The 22,861-nt window shown below is 39.5% G+C and overlaps 1 protein-coding gene and 1 long non-coding RNA gene across 5 annotated transcripts in view; one reads left to right on the top strand and one right to left on the bottom strand.

Annotated features, from left to right (window-relative positions):
• Nucleotides 1–22,861, top strand: part of KPNA1 (karyopherin subunit alpha 1) — a 93,038-nt gene that overhangs the window by 56,545 nt on the left and 13,632 nt on the right. For 3 of the 4 annotated variants that reach the window (XM_005247437.5, XM_024453514.2, NM_002264.4), the window contains exons 6-11: nt 4,394–4,525; nt 6,331–6,419; nt 6,762–6,861; nt 8,658–8,821; nt 16,279–16,357; nt 21,100–21,225. In XM_005247437.5, the coding sequence (XP_005247494.1) occupies nt 4,394–4,525; nt 6,331–6,419; nt 6,762–6,861; nt 8,658–8,821; nt 16,279–16,357; nt 21,100–21,225 (690 nt within the window). Of the gene's footprint in view, nt 1–546; nt 670–4,393; nt 4,526–6,330; nt 6,420–6,761; nt 6,862–8,657; nt 8,822–16,278; nt 16,358–21,099; nt 21,226–22,861 lie in introns of all 4 variants that reach the window. The other variant, NR_026698.2, reaches the window with a different exon arrangement.
• The window catches only part of WDR5B-DT (WDR5B divergent transcript), a 27,042-nt gene continuing 19,328 nt past the window's right edge, over nt 15,148–22,861 (bottom strand). Inside the window, exon 3 of the long non-coding RNA NR_125405.1 lies at nt 15,148–15,668. This is a non-coding gene — a long non-coding RNA (WDR5B divergent transcript). The remainder of the gene's footprint in view (nt 15,669–22,861) is intronic.

Genomic DNA, 22,861 nt, shown 5'->3' with positions numbered 1-22,861 from the left:
GAAGGTGAACATGGGTGGAATCTAGGATTTTGGAAGCAGACAATGGCTTTTAGCTAAGCGCATTCTCAAGCTCAGTGACATCTAGGTCTCAGATAGACTTGAGCCCTTGTCATGAGACTGGTCTGGTTTATGGCATGGTCTGTGAGCCTACTTTTTTGCTTCTTTGAGTCCAGGCCCAGTATCTTTGTGCTGTCCTTTGCAATGCTGAGATGTGGCATTCCCAAACTTTCTTATAGAAGTTTATAAAAATAGCTAGAAATAAATATATTGCCTTCTATTTCCAAATATTAGACAGATAATCCTTGAAAAGTTGTAAATTTGAATTACATTGGCTTAGTTTCCCCTTTTCTGCCTTTCTTGTCCCCTCTAAAAGCTTAATGTGATAAACTGCAGTAAGCCTTCATCCTCCTGTGTCTTTTCCCATCTTCATTGATCTCTCTGCCTTTCCTGGAAAGTTGCTCAGATGACTCAGGCACTGTTCTCTGCAGAGTTTGCTATCTGGGTTTATTTTTCTGATGTGAGCCTTTCTTTTCACTTGCTCTCCAGGTGAGCCTGGCATTTGCTAGGAACCAGAGTGGAACCGGCAAAGTGGCCAGCAACAGAGTCCTGATCCAAATGGAGAAAGGGAACCAGGCGTACCTCAACCTGGAGTGGGAAACTTGATAGGAGGTCAGAAGTACTTCAGCTTTGGATTCTCATTTTCCTTATTTAAGGAACTGAGCGCCAGAAGGTAGAGACTAAGAAAGGGAAGAGAGAAAACATCAAACCTTCAGTGTGCAGATTTCAGGTGTAGCCTTATTTAGTGAGTTCAGGACAGTGAAAAATAATGAGTGGAATTACAGTTTATAAGTAGTTCCAGCTGCATGATAGCTTGTTTCCTTGTATGATGCCATTCTTGGATATTAAGAATATAGTAGTTTAAAACAACAAAAGAAGTGAAGATTTTATTTGGCCACCATTTGTTACTTCAGGCAATACCATTTCTTAGATTTTTTTTTTTCCCAGGTTAATGATTTCCTGGTAACAGGGTTGCTTACTTTAATTAATTTTTTTGGCTGTTTCTATCATAACTTTATGCATATGTGTTTGCCATCAATTCTAGGCTTTCCCATTTCACAACTATTTCATGTTAAATTCTAATCTAGTACCCAAGGCTGAAACATTTAGAAAAAACAAAAAAATAGATGGCAAATCTCAGTGGAATACAGCTTTAAAGTACAGACTATGATGAAAGGGAAGTTATGTAGTTTAAAGTACATCTAATTTTTTAAAAACATAAATACGTTTAACAGTTACTTCTTCTAACATTAACAGAGGCCTATACTCAGGGAAATTCTGTTTTTTACTCCCTCCTCTCATACATATGTGGATACCTGCATAAACATACATACATATCACACATGTATAGATGGGTGTAGAAAATTTCACAAATACAGCTTGATTAGCTTTCACAAAGTGAAAACAGCAAAGTAATCAGCACCCTGTGTGTGTGTGTTTTATTGCCTTATTAATGCATGAATATGGTTGTATTTTCAGTGGTCCTCTTGTTACAGTTACCCATCTACTTCTATCCCCAATAATAGCAAAACTGTTTTTGATTTTCATTCCTGAATTGCATTGAGAGGTTATCATCATTGTGTACTACTTAGTGATAAGCATAACTGGCATGTTATTCTTTTGCTAAGATGTAATAATTTCTTTTTTTTACCATCTGTATTCAGGCTGTTATTCACTTACTTTTCATTTTCTTAGTCATTGTCACTTGAATTGTTTTGCTTCTCTATTTTATTAACTTGTGTAGCTTCTGGAATTCTCCCTCATTTCCCCTGAGATCTTTGGTGCTAAACTCAAAATAGCAGTTTGAACGCTGGCACCAATTAGAATTCTAAGTAATTTTTTCTCACCAATAACTCTGTACTATATCCCTGTATACCCAGGTTATTATTATAATTTCTTTTGCATCCAAATCTCACTGTAATCTTTTTCTTGTATACAGATGGTATGTATTCTGATCTTATTTTTTTTCCAGATTGCTTTTCCTTAGAGTTTTCATTTATTTGACTTTATGTTTGCAGTATCTGATGACTGTTTATTGAACTTTGAGCCTGCCTTGTGGTGGGACAGTTTGCTTTTATACTTACATCATATGACTCTGGTTTACAAATTAATTTTCCTAGTAAGCAAAAGAAACTACATCTTAGGTGAACTTGTTTTTTCTTTTTTAGTATAAATAATCTGGCATACTGTTATTTAAAATTTCTTGAACTAGATATCCAAACTACAAGCAAATGAAATATTTCTGGGTCAGCATTATGTTTCAGGAAACTATGACTGGGCTTCGTAATGTATTAGATTAGGAGGCTGTAACTTAGTCCTTGTCTTTGACTGTGTAACATTACTCGAGTCATTAGTCAAATTGTTGGATTTTTTTTCAGATAGTTTCCTCATTTGTACACAAGAAAAGCCAGATACTTTACATCTCTGGGTTGTTGTAGGGATCATCTGCGAGTATGTGAATAGTACTTTGAAAATATAAAGTGGCCGGGTGCGGTGGCTCATGCTTGTAATCCCAGCACTTTGGGAGGCCTAGATGGGAGGATGACTTGAGATCAGGAGTTCAAGGCCAGCCTGACAAACATGATGAAACCTCGTCTCTACTAAAAATATAAAAATTAGCCGGGCGTGGTGGCACATGCCTGTAATCCCAGCTACTTGGGAGGCTGAGGCAGGAGAATCACTTGAATCCGGGAGGTGGAGGTTGCAGTGAGCTGAGAACGTGACATTGCACTCCAGCCTGGGCAACAAGACTGAGACTCTGTCTCAAAAAAGAAAAAAAAGAAAATATAAAGTACGGTACAAATGTCAAGTTTTAATTCAGACGTACTGAAAGGGACTGAGTGTTGCTTTCATTAGTAATTTAATCATAGAGATAAATATGGGAAGAATTTTTATTTCATGATATCTGGGGTTTAATCTGTAAGTCCCCAGAATTTTTGTTATAACAAAAAGGGACCAGATACGGGCTCTTTAACCGAAGTACTCCTACTCTGGGCCTCCCTGCTGCTACTAAACCACCTTACCTCACTCATGTATGTCACTTTTATAGTTTTCTTTGGAACATCCATTGGTTATGTGTCTTCTGCTATGAATTTTCTATCACTAACATGGCTTTGAACGTGATTTGATCAGATGGCCCATTTTCCTGTCTTCCTCTATTCCCAAAGATTAATGAATTTAGTTTTCTACCTGACAGCTACCTTTTAGTTAATCTGGAAGCTTAGAAGAATCACAGGTCATTTGATGACGACTTGTTATTTTCTCTGATTTAAAGGACATGCCATGGAATTTTTCTTTTTTTCTGTGTATGTGCTTTATTAAATAGAAGACAGAATGGTGGAAGAAACAACCTGAAATGTAATTAAGAACTCTTAACTAAATAGAAAAGAGTTCATTATTGGATTTCTCAATATTAAGCTAAAGAGTCAAGTTAGTGTTAGAGATATATTTTAGTAATATGCTCTATTTTTTGTTGGCCATAATTTCCTTTATATCTTCTGTTTACCAGTGCTGTAATGCTATATATCAACCTTTAGTCAGTTTACCTTCATTTTTCCCTCCCTATTAAGAATGCCCAAAAAGTCCTATCTCTGTATTTTGGTTTGGAGCTCTCTCATTTATTGGAAGCTCTTATTCTTTGAAGTTGTCATTTCTTTTCATTATGTGCTGTTAACTCCTTTCACCTACTTATCATTTGATACCTTTTGCCTTTTTCACTGTGCCTGTATTTTATGTTTCACACTAACATTCTCCCCCCATTTTACTTTGCCCATTCTACAGAAGTTTTTAAATCTTTTTTATTAGATAACATACATGGTACAGGCTAAAAGGCACATAAAGCTTTCCAGTGAAAAGTATCTTTTTCATCCTTATTCCCTAGTTACCATCACCTTTCTATGCAGGCAACAAGTATTTAGTTTCCTCTAACTCATTCTGAAGATAATCTGTGCAATAAGTAAATTAATGCATATATTCCTTTTTAACGCTTTTAGAAAATATGGTATAATGCCATATTAATGTACACTGTTTGCATTTTGTTTTCATTTATATCTTGGGAGATCATACCATATCAGCATATGTAACACTCTCTCATTCTTTTTATGGTGTCATGTTTACTCTTTCTTGAACTGAAATTTTAGACACCCTGAATATTCTTCTAGGTTGAGGTATTTCTTCTGGATATTCTTCTTTTAAAATTAATATAGTACTCAACTGATAGGTTATGTGCAAATAATGATCTCAGAATCTTTTTTTCATGTACAGAAAATGTTACTGTTATAAGTAAACAAACTTTTACATTCTAAAAAGATAATGAAAATTATTTTTATCTTTATAGTTTGAATCAGCTTGGGTACTGACAAATATTGCTTCAGGAAATTCTCTTCAGACCCGAATTGTGATTCAGGCAGGAGCTGTGCCCATCTTCATAGAGTTGCTCAGCTCAGAGTTTGAAGATGTCCAGGAACAGGTAAAAATGAAACAAAAAGAAGCAGGTGAAAGAAAGTTTTTGGCTGGGCATGTCGCTCACTCCTGTAATCCCAACATTTTGGGAGGCCAAGGTGGGTGGATCACGAGGAGTTCGAGACCAGCCTAGCCAACATGGTGAAATCCCGTCTCTACTAAAAATACAAAAATTAGCCGGGCATGGTGGTACGTGTCTGTAATCCCAGCTACTTGGGAGGCTGAGGCAGGAGAATTGCTTGAACCCGAGAGGTGGAGGTTACAGTGAGCCGAGATCGCGTCATTGCACTCCAGCCTGGGTGACGAGAGCAAGACTTTGTCTCAAAAAAAACAAAACAAACAAAAAAAGAAAAACAAAAAAAACCACAAAATTTCCCAACATAATAAGGGGCTGAGTTTCACCAGTTGGCTTTGGTAATCTATGGATTGTCACAAAGGAGTGTTCTAGAAATTTAGTCTTAACCAAATAGAAAATTTCTTAGTGACTGTAGGCAGAATTTCTCTTAGACACATAAAATAATCTTCCCCTTCCAAACCTGACATTCTTTAAGCCCTGTATATGTACTTTTTTAGACCATGTAAGCAGTTACTGATAGAGGTTTTTTCTTGTAGAAATTTCAAGTGTTGAAAGTAGGCCAGGTGCTGTGGTTCCTGCCTGTAATTCCAGCACTTGGGAGGCTGAAGTGGGCAGCTTGCTTGAGCCCAGGAGCTCGAGACCAGCCAGGGCAACATGGCGAAACCCAGTCTCTACAGAAAATAAAGTAGGTGGGCATGGTGGCACACGCCTGTTGTCCCAGCTGCTTGAGAGGCTGAGGTGGGAGGGTTCACTTGAGCTCCAGGAGGCTGAGGCTGCAGTGAGCCGATATCACACCACCGCACTCCAGCCTCGGTAACAGAGTGAGACCTATCTCAAAAAAAAAGAAAGTGGCTAGTCTTTGCCACTTTTGTGCAGAAAAGTACAGAAAGCAAGTTTCTTTTTGTTCACTGTTTTCTTATGTAAGCAAGAAAATACTCTCTTTCTGTCTCTTTTTTTCTTTCTGTCTTTCTCTCTTTCTGTCTCTCCATCTTTCCGTCTTTCTTTCTCTCCGTCTCTCCATCTCTCCTTCTCTCCGTCTCTCCTTCCCTCTGTCTCTCCTTCCCTCCGTCTCTCCTTCCCTCCTTCCCTCCGTCTCTCCGTCTCTCCCTCCCTCCCTCCTTCCCTCCTTCTCTTGCTTCCTCCCTCCCTCCCTCCCTCCCTCTCTCCTCCCTCCCTCCTTTCCCTCCCTCCCTTCCTTCCTTCCTTCCTTCCTTCCTTCCTTCCTTCCCTCCTTCCCTCCCTCCCTCCCTCCCTCCTTCCCTCCTTCCCTCCTTCCCTCCTTCCCTCCTTCCCTCCTTCCGTCTGTCCCTGTCACCCAGGCTGGAGTGCATTGGCTCAATCTCGGCTCACTGCAACCTTGGCCTGTCAGGTTCAAGCAGTTCTCATGCCTCAGCCTCTCAAGCAGCTGGGATTACAGGCGCCTGCCACCACACCCGGCTAATTTTGTATTTTTAGTAGAGATGGAGTTTCACTGTGTTGCACTCCATACTGGGTGACAGAGCGAGATTCTGTATCAAAAAACAAAAACAAACAAAAATGAATTAGTTCTTTCCTTTAATAAACCGAATACCTTCTGTTTGTTGTACACTTTAGGATATTATTTATCTTCCTCCCCCAATCCTACAACTGTTTCATTTGACTCCCTGATGAACGTGTTATTGTGATATACTGGCATCTGAAAGAATTATGAGGGAATTAAACTATGTAACCTTTATTAATGAATGATTCTTTCACAGGCAGTCTGGGCTCTTGGCAACATTGCTGGAGATAGTACCATGTGCAGGGACTATGTCTTAGACTGCAATATCCTTCCCCCTCTTTTGCAGTAAGTTTCTTCTTCCTTCTTCCTTTTTTTTTCTTTTTGAGAATAAAAATGTAAGAGATTCCTCAGAAAGCATTACATGTTTGGAAATCATTTTGGATTTTCTAGTGTTATTTTTAATTCCAGATATTTTCTTGTTTAGATCATTTCCTCAAGCACCCTATCTTTTTCCATGCCAAAATTCTGAATTCTGAATTACTTGCATCAGAATTAATGAAGTTTTAATGTTCTGGAGAAAAGCTATCTGAAGACATCTCTTTATCAAAAGTATTATTATTTAGTATTTATGTCATCAGATAATCACTGTCTGTTACATAGTTTACCATTGTACCATCGTGCTTTTAGGTTATTTTCAAAGCAAAACCGCCTGACCATGACCCGGAATGCAGTATGGGCTTTGTCTAATCTCTGTAGAGGGAAAAGTCCACCTCCAGAATTTGCAAAGGTAAGGACTATGCTTTTGGGACATTGGCAGAAAAAATACAATTAAAAGAGTATTGCAACCAATGGTAAGGTGAACAGGAAGATAATTTTTGTTAAAATTTAAAATGTTAGAATTTTATCTGTTTTTGGAGAAACAGGGTTGTTGTTGTTTTTGTTGGTTCTCTTTATTATTTAAAAAGCAAATTTAGAGCATAGCTTGAAGGTGCACATTTACGATGGGACTGCAAATAAAGCATAGCATGAAGGAAGAATTTGTAAAGCTTATTGAAATTAGGCTTCATACAATTAGTATACTGTTTAGGAGACTATCCTTTCAGTTCTCTTAAAACAGTGGTTCTCAAAGTGTGGTCTGTGAGTTCTCTGGGAGTCCATGAGATTCTTTTTTTTTTTCCAATAGGTTTTTGGGGAACAGGTGGTGTTTAGGTACATGAGTTACTTGTTTAGTGGTGATTTCTGAGATTTTGGTGCACCCAACACCCAAGCAGTGTACGCTGTACCCAGTGTGTAGTCCTTTATCTCTCACCCACCTCCGACCCTTTCTCCCTGAGTCCCCAAAGTACATTGTATCATTCTTACGCTTTTGCGTCCTCATAGCTTAGCTCCCACTTATGAATGAGAACATCTGATGTTTGGTTTTCCAGTCCTGAGTGACTTTATCTACTTGTTGATTGATGGGCATTTGGGCTGGTTCCATGTGTTTGCAATTGTGAATTGTGCTGCTATAAACCTGCGTATACAAGTATCTTTTTCTTATAATGACCTCTTTTCCTCTGGGTAGATACCCAGGAATGGGACTGGTGCATCAAATGGTAGATATACTTTTAGTTCTTTAAGGAATCTCCACACTGTTTTCCATAGTGGTTATACTGGTTTACATTCCCAGCAACAGTGTAAAAGTGTTCCCTTTTCACCACATTCATGCCAACATCTATTTTTTGTTTTTTGGTTTTTTGAGACGGAGTTTTGCTCTTGTTGCCCAGGCTGAAGTGCAGTGGCGCGGTCTCGGCACACTGCAACCTCTGCCTCCTAGGTTCAAGTGATTCTCCTGCCTCAGCCTCCCGAGTAGCTGGGATTACAGGCGCATACCACCACACCCGGCTAATTTTTGTATTTTTAGTAGAGACGGGGTTTCACCATGTTGGCCAGGTTGGTCTTGAACTCCAGACCTCAGGTGATCCACCCACCTCAGCCTCCCAAAGTGCTGGGATTACAGGCGTGAGCCACCACGCCCAGCTGCATTTTTTAATATGTTTGTTGGCTATTTGTATATCTTCTTTTGAGAATTGTCTGTTCATGTCCTTAGCCCACTTTTTGATGGGATTTTTTTTTCTTGCTGATTTGAATTTCTTGCAGATTCTGGATATTAAAATAAATGGGTATTTTTGTAGTTGTTTTTAATTTGGAATCATTTTTCACTGAACAAAACCTTAGCATTTTTGGTCTTTAACAAAGTATCTAAAATACAGAATTTCCTAGTTTTCACATTTGTGAAAGTTCCTTTACCTGTTTAGTCCACAAAGAATGTGTTTTGATAGGGAGTCTTACTCCAAGAATTGATGTATATAAAACTTTGCTCTCTGAAATTATTTTCCTTGGGCTTTGACTACAGATTAGTGCAAGATCACTGACAACATTGCCAAAGATGGAAATGCCACTTAGGTACTTGCTGCTTCATCTTTAGAAGTGTAAATCACCCTAGAAGTCACCAAGTACATGCCTGGTTGCCTTCTTGAGTATCTCACCTCACTTCTGGCTTTTAGTCTATTGAATTTCATAATCATCATTTTCCTTTTACAGGTTTCTCCATGTCTGAATGTGCTTTCCTGGTTGCTGTTTGTCAGTGACACTGATGTACTGGCTGATGCCTGCTGGGCCCTCTCATATCTATCAGATGGACCCAATGATAAAATTCAAGCGGTCATCGATGCGGGAGTATGTAGGAGACTTGTGGAACTGCTGATGTAAGATATCTTTTAGAAAGTGTGTCCACTTTCTCTCCCTTGGTACTAGTTTTCTAGCTGCTAATACTTAAATATTAATGGATTGTACATGATAATTGATTTATTGTGCTTTGGGCTACTGTTTTTGTTACTTGTTTATTTTGATGTCAGATCTGTTTGTCTTGTTTTATTGAGGCTTATAGAGAACCTCTTAGTCCTCTGCTGTTAGCAGGCCTTTAGCAGAAACATTGGGAAAACTCTGATATGTGTAGTTCCAGGCTCATACTGGATGGCCTGAGATCAACCACCGGACATCAGAAGGCATACTGCCACTAAAATAGTCATTCCTTATCTGTCTGTCTCATTTAGAGCTTATTTTAGACAAGTATCAGAAATTCAATCTTATTTTGCTTTATCATCTCCGTGATGCTTTTGATAATGGAGTGGAAGATTTACTCGTGACATAAATAATTTGAGACTGTATTAATCAAATTTTTAGATACTACAGAAGAAAAAAATGAAAGTGATAACATAATGGAGAAATGGTACAGTTACAAGGTATGGGAGATTTAAAGTACAAAGTAGATGCAAAGAGACATTGTCGCAAACATGACATTTGGAATATATTAGATAGTTATAATGTATTAATACAAAATAGAAAACTCTGGGATTATAGCAGGCTACAGACTGGATGCAGATCAGTAATGTAGTGCTAATGTGAATTAATGGCAGTATGATGCTGCAGGAGTCTGAAGTACATCATTCAAAATCTGGGAAGTAATCCTTTGTATTCTTTAGTCACTAGACTACTATATATTTTAGCCATTTCTTTTTTTTTTTTCTTTTTTAAAAATTATACTTTAAGTCCTAGGGTAAATGTACACAACATGCAGGTTTGTTACATAGGTATACATGTGCCATGTTGATTTGCTGCACCAATTAACTCGTCATTTACATTAGGTATTTCTCTTAATGCTATCCCTCCCCCTGCCCCCAACTCCACGACAGGCCCCAGTGTGTGATGTTCCCCGCCCTGTGTCCAAGTGTTCTCATTGTTCAATTCCCACCTGTGAGTGAGAACATGCAGTGTTTGGTTTTCTGTCCTTGTGATAGTTTACTCAGAATGATCGTTTCCAGCTTCATCCACGTCCCTGCAAAGGATATGAACTCATCCTTTTTTATGGCTGCATAGTATTCCGTGGTGTATATGTACCACATTTTCTTAATCCAGTCTATCACTGATGGACATTTGGGTTGGTTCCAAGTCTTTGCTATTGTGAATAGTGCCGCAATAAACATGGATGTGTCTTTGTAGTAGCATGATTTATAATCCTCTGGGTATATACCCAGTAGTGGGATGGCTGGGTCAAATGGTATTTCTAGTTCTAGATCCTTGAGGAATCGCCACACTGTCTTCCACAATGGTTGAACTAATTTACACTCTCACCAACAATGTAAGAGTGTTCCTATTTCTCCACATCCTCTCCAGCATCTCTTGTTTCCTGACTTTTTAATGATGACGTGAGATAGTATCTCATTGTGGTTTTGATTTGCATTTCTCTGATGACCAGTGATGATGAGCATTTTTTCATGTGTCTGTTGGCTGCATAAAAGTCTTCTTTTGAGAAGTGTCTGTTCATATCCTTTGCCCACTTTTTGAGGGGGTTTTTTTTTCTTGTAAATTAGTTTAAGTACTTTGTAGATTCTGGATATTAGCCCTTTGTCATAGGAATGCTTGTGATTTTTGCACATTGATTTTGTATCCTGAGACTTTGCTGAAGTTGCTTATCAGCTCAAGGAGATTTGGGGCTGAGACGATGGAGTTTTCTAAATATAGAATCATGTCATCTGCAAACAGGGACAGTTTGACTTCCTCTTTTCCTAATTGAATACCCTTTATTTCTTTCTCTTACCTGATTGCCCTGGCCAGAACTTCCAGTGCTGTGTTGAATACGAGTGCTGAGAGAGGGCATCCTTGTCTTGTGCTGGTTTTCAAAGGGAATGCTTCCAGTTTTTGCCCATTCAGTATGATATTGGCTGTGGGTTAGTCATAAATAGCTCTTATTATTTTGAGATATGGTCCATCAATACCTAGTTTATTGAGAGTTTTTAGCATGAAGGGCTGTTGAATTTTGTCAAAGGCCTTTTCTGCATCTGTTGAGATAATCATGTAGTTTTTGTCGTTGGTTCTGTTTATGTGATGGATTACATTTATTGATTTGCATATGTTGAACCAGCCTTGCATCCCAGGGATGAAGCCGACTTGATCGTGGTGGATAAGCTTTTTGACATGCTGCTGGATTCGGTTTGCCAGTATTTTATTGAGGATTTTCACATCAATGTTCATCAGGGATATTGGTCTAAAATTTTCTTTTTTGTTGTTGTGTCTTTGCCAGGCTTTGGTATCAGGATGATGCTGGCCTCATAAAATGAGTTAGGTAGGATTCCCTCTTTTTCTGTTGATTGGAATAGTTTCAGAAGGAATGGTACCAGCTCCTCTTTGTACCTCTGGTAGAACTTGGCTGTGAATCCATCTGGTCCTGGGCTTTTTTTGGTTGGTAGGCTATTAATTACTGCCTCAATTTCAGAGCCTGTTATTGGTCTATTCAAGGATTCAACTTCTTCCTGGTTTAGTCTTGGGAGGGTGTATGTGTCCAGGAATGTATCCATTTCTTCTAGATTTTCTAGTTTATTTGTGTAGAGGTGTTGATAGTATTCTCTGATGGTAGTTTGTATTTCTGTGGGATCGGTGGTGATATCCCCTTTATCATTTTTTATTGCATCTATTTGATTCTTTTCTCTTTTCTTTATTAGTCTTGCTAGCGGTCTATCAATTTTGTTGATCTTTTCAAAACACCAGCTCCTGGATTCATTTATTTTTTTGAAGGGTTTTTTGTGTCTGTATCTCTTTCAGTTCTGCTCTGATCTTAGTTATTTCTTGCCTTCTGCTAACTTTTGAATTTGTTTGCTCTTGCTTCTCTAGTTCTTTTAATGGTGATGTTGGGTGTTGATTTTAGATCTTTCCTGCTTTCTCTTGTGGGCATTTAGTGCTATAAATTTCCCTCTACACACTGCTTTAAATGTGTCCCAGAGATTCTGGTATGTTGTGTCTTTGTTTTCATTGGTTTCAAAGAACATCTTTATTTCTGCCTTCATTTCGTTATTTACCCAGTAGTCATTCAGGATCAGGTTGTTCAGTTTCCATGTAGTTGTGCGGTTTTGAGTGAGTTTCTTAATCCTGAGTTCTAATTTGATTGCACTCTGGTCTGAAAGACAGTTTGTTGTGATTTCTGTTCTTTTACATTTGCTGAGCAGTGTTTTACTTCCAATTATGTGGTCAGTTTTAGAATAAGTACAATGTGGTGCTGAGAAGAGTGTATATTTTGTTGATTTGGGGTGGAGAGTTCTGTAGATGTTTATTAGGTCCACTTGGTGCAGAGCTGAGTTCAAGTCCTGGATATCCTTGTTAACCTTCTGTCGTGTTGATCTGTCTAATATTGACAGTGGGGTGTTAAAGTCTCCCATTATTATTGCGTGGGAGTGTAAGTCTCTTTGTAGGTCTCCAAGGACTTGGTTTATGAATCTGGGTGCTCCTGTATTGGGTGCATATATATTTAGGATAGTTAGCTCTTCTTGTTGAATTGATCCCTTTACCATTATGTAATGGCTTTCTTTGTCTCTTTTGATCTTTGTTGGTTTAAAGTTTGTTTTATCAGAGACTAGGATTGCAACCCCTGCTTTTTTTTTGCTTTCCATGTGCTTTGTACATCTTCCTCCATCCCTTTATTTTGAGCCTATGTGTGTCTCTGCACGTGAGATGGGTCTCCTGAATATAGCACACTGATGGGTCTTGACTCTTTATCCAATTTGCCAGTCTGTGTCTTTTAATTGGGGCATTTAACCCATTTACAATTAAGGTTATTATTGTTATGTGTGAATTTCATTTTATCATTATGATGTTAGCTGGTTAATTTGCCCGTTAACTGATGCAGTTTCTTCCCAGCATTGATGGTCTTTACAATTTGGCATGTTTTTGCAGTGGCTGGTACCGGTTGTTCCTTTCCATGTTTAGTGCTTCCTTCAGGAGCTCTTGCAAGGCAGGCCTGGTGGTGACAAACTCTGTCAGCATTTGCTTGTCTGTAAAGGATTTTATTTCTCCTTCACTTATGAAGCTTAGTTTGGCTGGATATGACATTCTTGGTTGAAAACTCTTTTGAAAACTCTTCTTTTTACTCTTTTTTCTCTAATCTTGTCTTCACACTTTATTTCATTAATTTGATCTTCAGTCACTGATATCCTTTCTTCCACTTGATTGAATCGGCTATTGAAGCTTGTGCATACGTCACGAAGTTCTTGTGCCATGGTTTTCAGCTCCATCAGGTCTTTTAAGCTCTTCTCTACACTGTTTATTCTAGTTAGCCGTTGGTCTAACCTTTGTTCAAGGTTTTTAGCTTCCTTGCAATGGGTTAGAACATGCTCCTTTAGCCCAGAGAAGTTAGTTATTACCGACCTTCTGAAGCCTACTTCTGTCAACTCGTCAAAGTTATTCTCCGTCCAGCTTTGTTCTGTTGCTGGCGAGAAGCTGCGATCTTTTGGAGGAAAACAGGCGCTCTGGTTTTTAGAATTTTCAGCTTTTCTGCTCTGGTTTCTCCCCATCTTTGTGGTTTTATCTACCTTTGGTCTTCGATATTGGTGACCTACAGATGAGGTTTTGGTGTGGGTGTCCTTTTTGTTGATGTTGATGCTATTCCTTTCTGCTTATTCGTTTTCCTTCTAACAGTCAGTTCCCTCAGCTGCAGGTCTGTTGGAGTTTGCTGGAGGTCCACTCCAGACCCTGTTTTCCTGGATTACCAGCAGAGGCCACAGAACAGCAAATATTGCAGAACAGCAAATATTGCTGCCTGATATTTTCTCTGGAAGCTTCGTCCCAGAGGGGCACCCGCCTGTATGAGGTGTCTCTCGGCCCCTACTTGGAGGTGTCTCCCAGTTAGGCAGGAAGTCAGGGACCCTGAATGGAAGGACCGGCTGAAGCCATGGCAGAAGGACATAAATTGTAAAGATTTCATGGACATTTATTAGTTCCCCAAATTAATACTTTTATAATTTCTTACGCGTGTCTACTGCAGTCTCTGAACATAAATCGTGAAGATTTCATGGACATTTATCACTTCCCCAGTCAATACTCTTATAATTTCCTATGCCTGTCTTTAATCTCTTAATCCTGTCATCTTCATAAGCTGAGGATGTATGTTGCCTCAGGGTCCTGTGATGATTGCATTATGTGTACAAATTGTTTGTGAAAGGTGTGTTTGAACAGTATGAAATCTGGGCATTCTAAAAGAACAAGATAACAGTGATTTTCAGGGAACAAGGGAGATAACCATAAGGTCTGACTGCCTGCGGGGCTGGGCAGAACAGAATCATATTTCTCTTCTTGCAAAAGCGAATAGGAGAAATAGCGCTCAGTTCTTTTTCTCAGCAAGGAACAGCCCTGGGAAAAGAATGCATTCCCAGGGGGCGGCCTCTAAAATGGCCGCTCTGGGAGTGTCTGTCTTTTGCAGTTGAAGATAAGGCATAAAATACGCCCTGGTCTCCTTCAGTGCCCTCAGGCTTGCTAGGATTAGGAAATTCCAGCCTGGCGAATTCTAGTCAGACCGGTTTTCTGCTCTAGAAAACACTGTTTCTTGTTAAGATGTTTATCAGTGACAATGGGTGTACAGTGGGACATGAAACCTCATCAGCAGTTCTAATCTCACCCTGGCCTTGTGATCTTGCTCTGCCCCCATTTTCCTTGTGATATTTTATTGCCTTTTGAAGCATGTGATCTCTGTGACCCACACCCTATTCGTACACTCCCTCCCCTTTGAAAATCGCTAATAAAATATTGCTGGTTTTGTGGCTTGGGAGCATCACGGAACCTGCCGACATGTGATGTCACCCCCGGAGACTCAGGTGTAAAATTTCTCTCTTTTGTACTCTTTCTCTTTATTTCTTAGACTGGCCAACACTTAGAGAAAATAGAAAAGAACCTACATTGAAATATTGGGGGCTGGTTCCCCCAATAGGCTACACGGGGTTCAGGGACCCACTTGAGGAGGTAGTCTGTCCATTCTCAGAGCTCAAACACCATGCTGGGAGAACCACTGCTCTCTTCAGAGCTGTCAGACAGGGACGTTTACATCTGTAGAAGTTGTCTGCTGCCTTTTGTTCAGCCTATGCCCTGCCCCCAGAGGTGGAGTGTATAGAGATAGTAGGCCTTGCTGAGGTGCGGTGGGATCCACCCATTTCGAGCTTTCTGGCTGCTTTGTTTACCTACTCAAGCCCCAGCAATGGCAGACGCCCCTCCCCCCGCCAGGCTGCAGCCTTGCAGGTCGATCTCCAGCTGCTGCGCTAGCAGTGAGCAAGGCTGCATGGGCATGGGACCCGCTGAGCCAGGCATGGGAGAGCAATCTCCTCGTCTGCCATTTGCTAAGACTGTGGGAAAAGCACAGTGTTTGGGCGGGGTGTACTGATTTTCCATGTACAGTCTGTCACAGCTTCCCTTGGCTAGGAAAGGAAAATCCCCCGACCCATTGTGCTTCCTGGGTGAGGCGACGCCCTGTCATGCTTCACCTTGCCCTCCGTGGGCTGCACCCACTGTCCAACCAGTCCCAGTGAGATGAATCAGGTACCTCAGTTGGTGATGCAGAAATCACCCGTCTTCTGCGTCGATCACTCTGGGAGCTGCAGACCAGAGCTGTTCCTATTCAGCTATCTTGGAACGGAACCCAGCCATTTCTTTTTAATCATCACATGTTAAATTTGAAGGAACTGGCTTAGTTTTTAGAAGAGTGATCGGTCTCATTAAAGTGGAGGGAAAAATAGGACCCTTAAGGAAAATCAAAAGATAGTGACTTAATTTAGCTAGAAATAAGGACTTAATATCTGTCTTCAAATATATATATATGGCTTTGTGGAGTGGTTTTTGGACCAGTAAGGCAGCTTATTTAGTAAGTTTAGTTGAAAGACCTTTGTATTTAGAGTGTGACTCCTGACTTGCATTTTCAAGTTAGTTCAGCTGTTGATGTGTCACTTTTACGTCTGAAAATTAAGACAATTTATAAAACTTAAAAATGTTGCGTAAATGTTAATTATTGCTCTCAATTATCTCAGCAACCATACAAAAGCCAGTAAAGAGGAAATGAAACCTATACTAAAGAATGAGAGGGAAAAGTTGGAATCCAGGTGATGGAATACCTGGGAAAGATTCCTAGGAAAGATTGGTAGTTTTTTCCAAATGTACTAAAATAAGGGGAAAGACAGTTCTAGGGAACACCAGACATTCCATCATCATGATAAGCGTTCCCTTAATTAGCCCCATGGGTACATTTCTGCTCTAAAATTCTATCACAATTTTTTTGTTTTTTAATTTTGGTCTTGGAAGGAAATGAAACTAAGGATAGAACTGTTTGCTATAACATTACTTTTTGTTTTTGCAGGCATAATGATTATAAAGTGGTTTCTCCTGCTTTGCGAGCTGTGGGAAACATTGTCACAGGGGATGATATTCAGACACAGGTATGAAGAAGTGGTAACTTTTTTTTGTCCTTTAAAAACAGTATATTGAACTTCATGATCATGTTTCTATTATCGTATTTTACTCCATATTATTAGGGAAACTTGATACTCTGTTACACTAATGTTTAAAAATGTTGGGCCGGGGGCGGTCACTCACGCCTGTAATCCCAGCACTTTGGGAGACTGAGGCGGACGGATTGCCTGAGCTCAGGAGTTCGACACCAGCCTGGGCAACATGGTGAAACCTCATCTCTACTAAAAATACAAAAAATTAGCCGGGCGTGGTTGCACACGCCTGTAGTTCCAGCTACTTGGAGGCTGAGGTAGAAGAATCGCTTGAACCCAGGAGGTAGAGGTTGCAGTGAGCCGAGATCGCACCACTGCACTCCAGCCTGGGCAACAGAGTGAGACTCCAGCTCAAAGAAAAAAAAAAAAGTTGGTTTAGGCATCTACTCTCAATACCTTTAGTATCTCTGACTTGACCTGTTGCTTGTAGTAGTTTGGGGTTGTCCTATGATAGTGACTATTTTTTGGTCAGGCAGATTTGTTTTTCTTCACTCCTATTTGAAATAGTTCTCATGGGCATCAGAATCCTCTAGTAGCATCTTTTCTCTGTCTTTTTCATCTCAATATCACCTTCTCTGATAGCTTTCTCCTTTTGTACATGGTAAGTCCCCTGTGTGAGGAAGATTCTTCCCTCCTACTTTCTAATGTCACCATCTACTCTATTCAACTTCTGTATCAAGACACACCATTCACAGTGCATTGTTCTAGCCATATTTCTTCCTGAAATCTCAGCTGTGTTGTGATGTTGAAGTCTTTTAGTTCTTCTGCCTCATCGACCATTTATTTCTCCCTAGCAAGCTCCTTTTCCTCTTGTCTCCTTTTGTGGACATCTTCCACGGGGCAATCCTTCTGCCTCATTCATAGATCTTATTTATAATGTCAGTGATTACCCTTGTGTGCATGGATTCAGAATTGGGAATTGGGTTTTAGCCTTAGCGTTTTCTTCACCAGTTCTGACTTTCAGCAATACATTTAATGCCTTTTCTAATCTCTAAAATTAAGGAGATTAGATTTGTTCTCTCAGGTGTCTTCTAACTGTAATGTATTTACTTTAAATATATTCTGTACACAAGGGAACTCATTTCCCCTTGCATTACCTGAACCTCTGCTTATGTTCCCTGTATCAGTGAATGGCACCATCAGTTCCCCTGAAACCTGGACATCAGCTTGATTCTTTCCTCTCCTCCAACTCCATCATCAGTTACTAAGTCCTGTTGTTCTGTCTCTATTCATCCTTTGCAGGGCTTAGTTCAGACACTTCAGAAGAGAATAGGAGAAGAAAAGAATATATGTTTGACTATATTTGCATAAAATTTCTCTGGAAGGATATACAGGGAACTGAAAATGTTGGTTGTCTTTGAGGGGAACTGGTTGGCTGGGATACAAGAAGGGGAAAGAGGCTTTTAACAACTATGGAGTCTTTTATACCCTCTGAATTTTTGAACCCTATCAGTATCTTTCTGTCCCTCACCCACCTCCATATGCTGTATGCTTTTGCCATATTTGTTCCTTGAATTGGCTGTGGCCACTCTCAGCTCAGAGTTTTAACGCATGCTTTATTCCCTCTGCCTGGAACATGTGTCTCCACTGCTACCCCTTGCTCTGACTGCCACCTCACACATATCCACATTCTCTGCTCCTAATGTTTTCTTGTTCTTCAAGTCTTGGTATTAACATTATTTTCTCTGAGAAGCCCTGTTTGACCCTAAACTCTTAAGTTAGGTACTTATTTTTTTTTCTTTATCCATCAGAATATTAATCACATTGTATTGTAACTAATTACTAGATTTTAAGATTCTAGAGGTGGATTATGTCAGTGTTTATTTCTGTGCCTCTGTAAATCTAATAATTTCTGGCACAATATATAGGGACTTAAAGAATATTTATTGAATGCAATGAAGTTCTGAATCTCTACATCTACTTCTGACCTATCTCAAGTTTCAGTCCTATATCTGCAGTAGTTTCTTACATATTTCTGCTTGCATATCTCACGTTTGTCTCACAGTATATCTTCTTTCCCCCACAAGGCAAGTTCCAAGTTTTTATTTTTCCTATTTCAGGTAATGATATAACTATTCTCTTTACCTACACATGAAACTTTGCAGTTACATGTGGTGTCTCCCTCCCTTATAGTTTGTATAGCAAGTTGCTGGGTCTTCTTGATTGTTATTGTTACTAGATCCCCATCAAATTACGTACTTTTGGTCCTTGTCACACACACAGGTTGTTGCTGTACCCATCCATCCTCCGACTGTCCTAAGCAGTTACTCTTCTCAATTTATTCCCCCTAATAACAGCTGAATCTTTCCTAAAGTAATGTTATTTGCATTATCTTCCTCTAGAAATAATAAGCTGCTTTAGTGCCTGTAAGATAAAGAAACTTGAAAGATTCAAAGGAATTTCTCCTTAAGATTTTAGTCTCATTCTTCTTTCTAGCCTATTATTTTTGGGGCATAGAACTCTTTTGTAATAGCCTCATCATGGCCAGGTATGCTGGCTCATGCTTGTATTCCTAGCTTTTTGAGAGGCTGAGGTGAGAGAATTGCCTGAGCCCAGGAGTTCCAAACCAGCCCATGCAATATAGCAAGACCCCATCTCTAAAAACATTTTTTTTTAATTAGCTGAGCATGATGGAATGTAACTGTAGTCCTACCTACTCTACTCAGGAGGCTGAGGCAGGAGGATTGCTTGCACCCAGGAGTTTGAGGTTGCAGTGAGCTATGATCATGCCACCACACTCCAGCCTTAGTGATAGAACGAGACTATGTTTCTTAAAATAAAATAGCCTCAGTAGTCTGTTCTTACAGTACTTTGTAATAGCTTGTCTCTGCATTTTTTCATTTCTAGCTTATGTGCAGTGTCAGTCCCTCTTTTTGCTAATGAAATCCTATTGCCTATTTAATAGGCATAAAAGACTTCATTTTAATTTGCATTTCTTTCATTACTTAGGAGATAATTTTCTATTAAAATTTTAGTTTCTCTTTTCAGTTTACACATAGCAACCCTCTCATTTGTTGCAAATATTTTTCACAGTGGATGGTGTACATTTAAAATCTGTTACGATTTTTGACATGAAAACATGTTTCATGAAATTTTTATTTTCCCCTATAATTTCTTTATTTTTATGCTCATACATACAGTCTTTTACCATCCCCAAGTCAGCTATTTTCTAATATTCTGCTTTATGATTTCTTTTAAAAATATTTACTCTTAAGTAGTTGCAAATTTATTTTGGTGACTTAGGGTTTATATTAGTCTGTTATTTCATTGCTATAAAGAAATACCTGGCCGAGCGTGGTGGCTCCTGCCTGTAATCCCAGCACTTTGGGAGGCTGAGGTAGGTGGATCACATGAGGTCGGGAGTTCAAGACCAGCCTGACCAACATGGAGAAACCCTGTCTCTACTAAAAATACAAAATTAGCCGGGCGTGGTGGCGCATGCCTGTAATCCCAGCTACTCAGGAGGCTGAGGCAGGAGAATTACTTGAACCCAGGAGGCGGAGGTTGCGGTGAGCAGAGATTGTGCCATTGCGCTCCAGCCTGGGCAACAGGAGCGAAACTCTGTCTCAAAAAAAAAAAAACAAAAAAGAAATACCGAAGACTGAGTAGTTTATAAAGAAAAGAGGTTTAATTGGCTCATGTTTTTGTAGGCCATACAGGACGCATATAGTAGCTTCTGCTTCTGGGGAGGTCTCAGGAAACTTAAAAGTTATGGTGGAAGGTGAAGAGAAAGCAGGCTTGTCTTATGTGACGTGAGCAGGAGCAAAGAGTAGGAGAAGGTGCTACATACTAGAACAGAACCATGGGGATGGCGCTGACCATTCTTGAAGGATCCACCCCCATGATCCAGTCACCTCCTACCAGGCCCCACCTCCAACCTTGGGGATTACAATTCAACATGTGATTTGGGTGGGGACACAGATCCAAACCATATCAGGGTTAAGAAATGATATTGAAAAAATTGTCTTTAATCTGTTTAGCTTTTTATTCCAGTTCTGTCATAGCCACAAGTCATTGGAAGAAAGGATTAACTTATTATAAACTTTATAAATAGCTGCATTTGTTTCTAGAATAGATCTCTGTTCTCTGTTTAGTGATTAATTCTTAAATCTGCCATATACTATTTTAATCAAACTTATATTATTTTAGTTTCTAGTAGAGTAGGTCTCCTTCTTCATGTGTATTTGTGTTACCTCCTTCACCTTTATAAACTGATAGCTGAGGTCATATCTTTTTTATCTTTGTATCCTATAAAGCATCTAATATACCTCATTAAGTACGTATTCGTTCATTGACTACCAAGTAGTGTGTTATCAGAGGACCTACAAATCTGAGACTCCTGACTTTTCTGGCCACTTGATATATTTACCCATTCAGAAGACTTACGCTATTGGGATGGGAAGGTGAATGAGTAATGCTTTTGTAATTACAATAGTAACATTATTGTATCTTATTAAGTACAGTTTAGCAGTTGTGAATGTGTACAATGAAACTGTACTGATACTCTTAGAAACTAATTCTTATTAACAGTGAATACTTTTTTTTACCTGTATAAAGTTACTTATTTATAAAATTTCAAGGGGAGATGTTATGTCTTTCATAAAATGTGTTCCTTAAGTTAAACATTGATATTTAGAACAATACAATAAGTAAAATTTTCAAACTTTTTCTTTTAGGTAATTCTGAATTGCTCAGCTCTGCAGAGTTTATTGCATTTGCTGAGTAGCCCAAAGGAATCTATCAAAAAGGAAGCATGTTGGACGATATCTAATATTACAGCTGGAAATAGGGCACAGATCCAGGTAACCTCATAGGACCTAACTTCTCTTTCAGTATTTTTATTGAAAAGTAAGGTTTTTTTCTCAGTCACCCTTTAAAACACATTTGTTTTTGGCTGGGTGCGGTGGCTCCTGCCTGTAATCCCAGCACTCTGGGAGGCTGAGGCCCGTGGATCACTTGCGGTCAGGAGTTCAAGACTATCCTGGTCAACATGCTGAAACCTTGTCTCTACTAAAAATACAAAAAAATTAGCCAGTCGCAGTGGCAGGTGCCTGTAGTCCCAGCTACGCGGGAGGCTGAGGGAGGAGAATTACTTGAACCGTGGAGGTAGAGGTTGTAGTGAGCCGAGATTGTGCCACTGTACTCCATCCTGGGTGACAGAGCAAGACTCCATCTCAAAACAAAATAAAACGTATATCGTTTTCATTATTGCTTTGAAGACCACTTTCAATGTTGTTGTCTTATTTCATAGTCAGCTTTTTACTTTATCCTAGCTTATAGATGTTAAGTCTTTTGAAATTTACACTTAAGCCTTCATTTTTTCTGTTGCCGTTAATATTTGATGTTTCACCAAGACCCAAGAAATAGTTATCAGGGGAACCACCTCCAGTGTTTCATGTAGGTTCTTTTCTGTTTTCCCTAAGTGTCGGCCGGTCTGAGAAATAAAGGGAAAGAGTACAAGAGAAATTTTAAAGCTGGCTGTCTGGGGGAGACATCACATATCGGCACGTTCCGTGATGCCCCCCAAGCTGCAAAACCAGCAGGTTTTTATTAGTGATTTTCAAAGGGGAGGGAGTGTACGAATAGGTTGTGGGTCACAGAGATCACATACTTCACAAGGCAATAAAATATCACAAGGCAAATGGCAGAGCACGGGGCGAAATTAAAATTGCTAATGAGGTTTCAGGCATGCATTGTCATCGATAACATCTTATCAGGAGACAGGGTTTGAGAACAGACAACCAGTCTGACTAAAATTTACTAGGCGGGAATTTCCTCGTCCTAATAGGCCTGGGAGCGCTAAGGGAGACCGGGGTTTATTTCATCCCTTATCCACAACCATATAAGACAGACAGTCCCAGAGTGGCCATTTTAGAGACCTCCCCCTAGGAACGCATTCTCTTTCTCATGACTGTTCCTTGCTGAGAAAAAGAATTCAGTAATATTTCTCCTATTCACTTTTGTAAGAAGAGAAATAATAGCTCTGTTCCGCCTAGCTCTCAGGCAGTCAGACCTGATGGTTATCTCCCTTGTTCCCTGAACATCGCTGTTATCCTCTTCTTTTTTCAAGGTGCCCAGATTTCATATTGTTTAAACACACATGCTTTATGATGCAATCATCACAGGGTCCTGAGGCGACATACATCCTCAGCTTAATGAAGATGACGGGATTAAGAGATTAAAGTAAAGATAGGCATAGGAAATTATAAGAGTATTGATTGGGGAGGTGATAAATGTCCATGAAATCTTCACAGTTTATGTTCAGAGACTGCAGTAAAGACAGGTGTAAGAAATGATAAAAGTATTAATTTGGGGGAACTAATAAATGTCCATGAAATCTTCACAATTTATGTCCTTCTGCCAGGCTTCATGGTCCCTCCATTCAGGGTCCCTGACTTCTTGCAACAAATAATGTCTTGTATTTTCAAAATGTTTTGA

This window comes from Homo sapiens, chromosome 3 (assembly GCF_000001405.40).
Source record: "Homo sapiens chromosome 3, GRCh38.p14 Primary Assembly".
NCBI lineage: Eukaryota > Metazoa > Chordata > Mammalia > Primates > Hominidae > Homo > Homo sapiens.
This window is presented reverse-complemented; position numbering and strand designations above follow the sequence as displayed.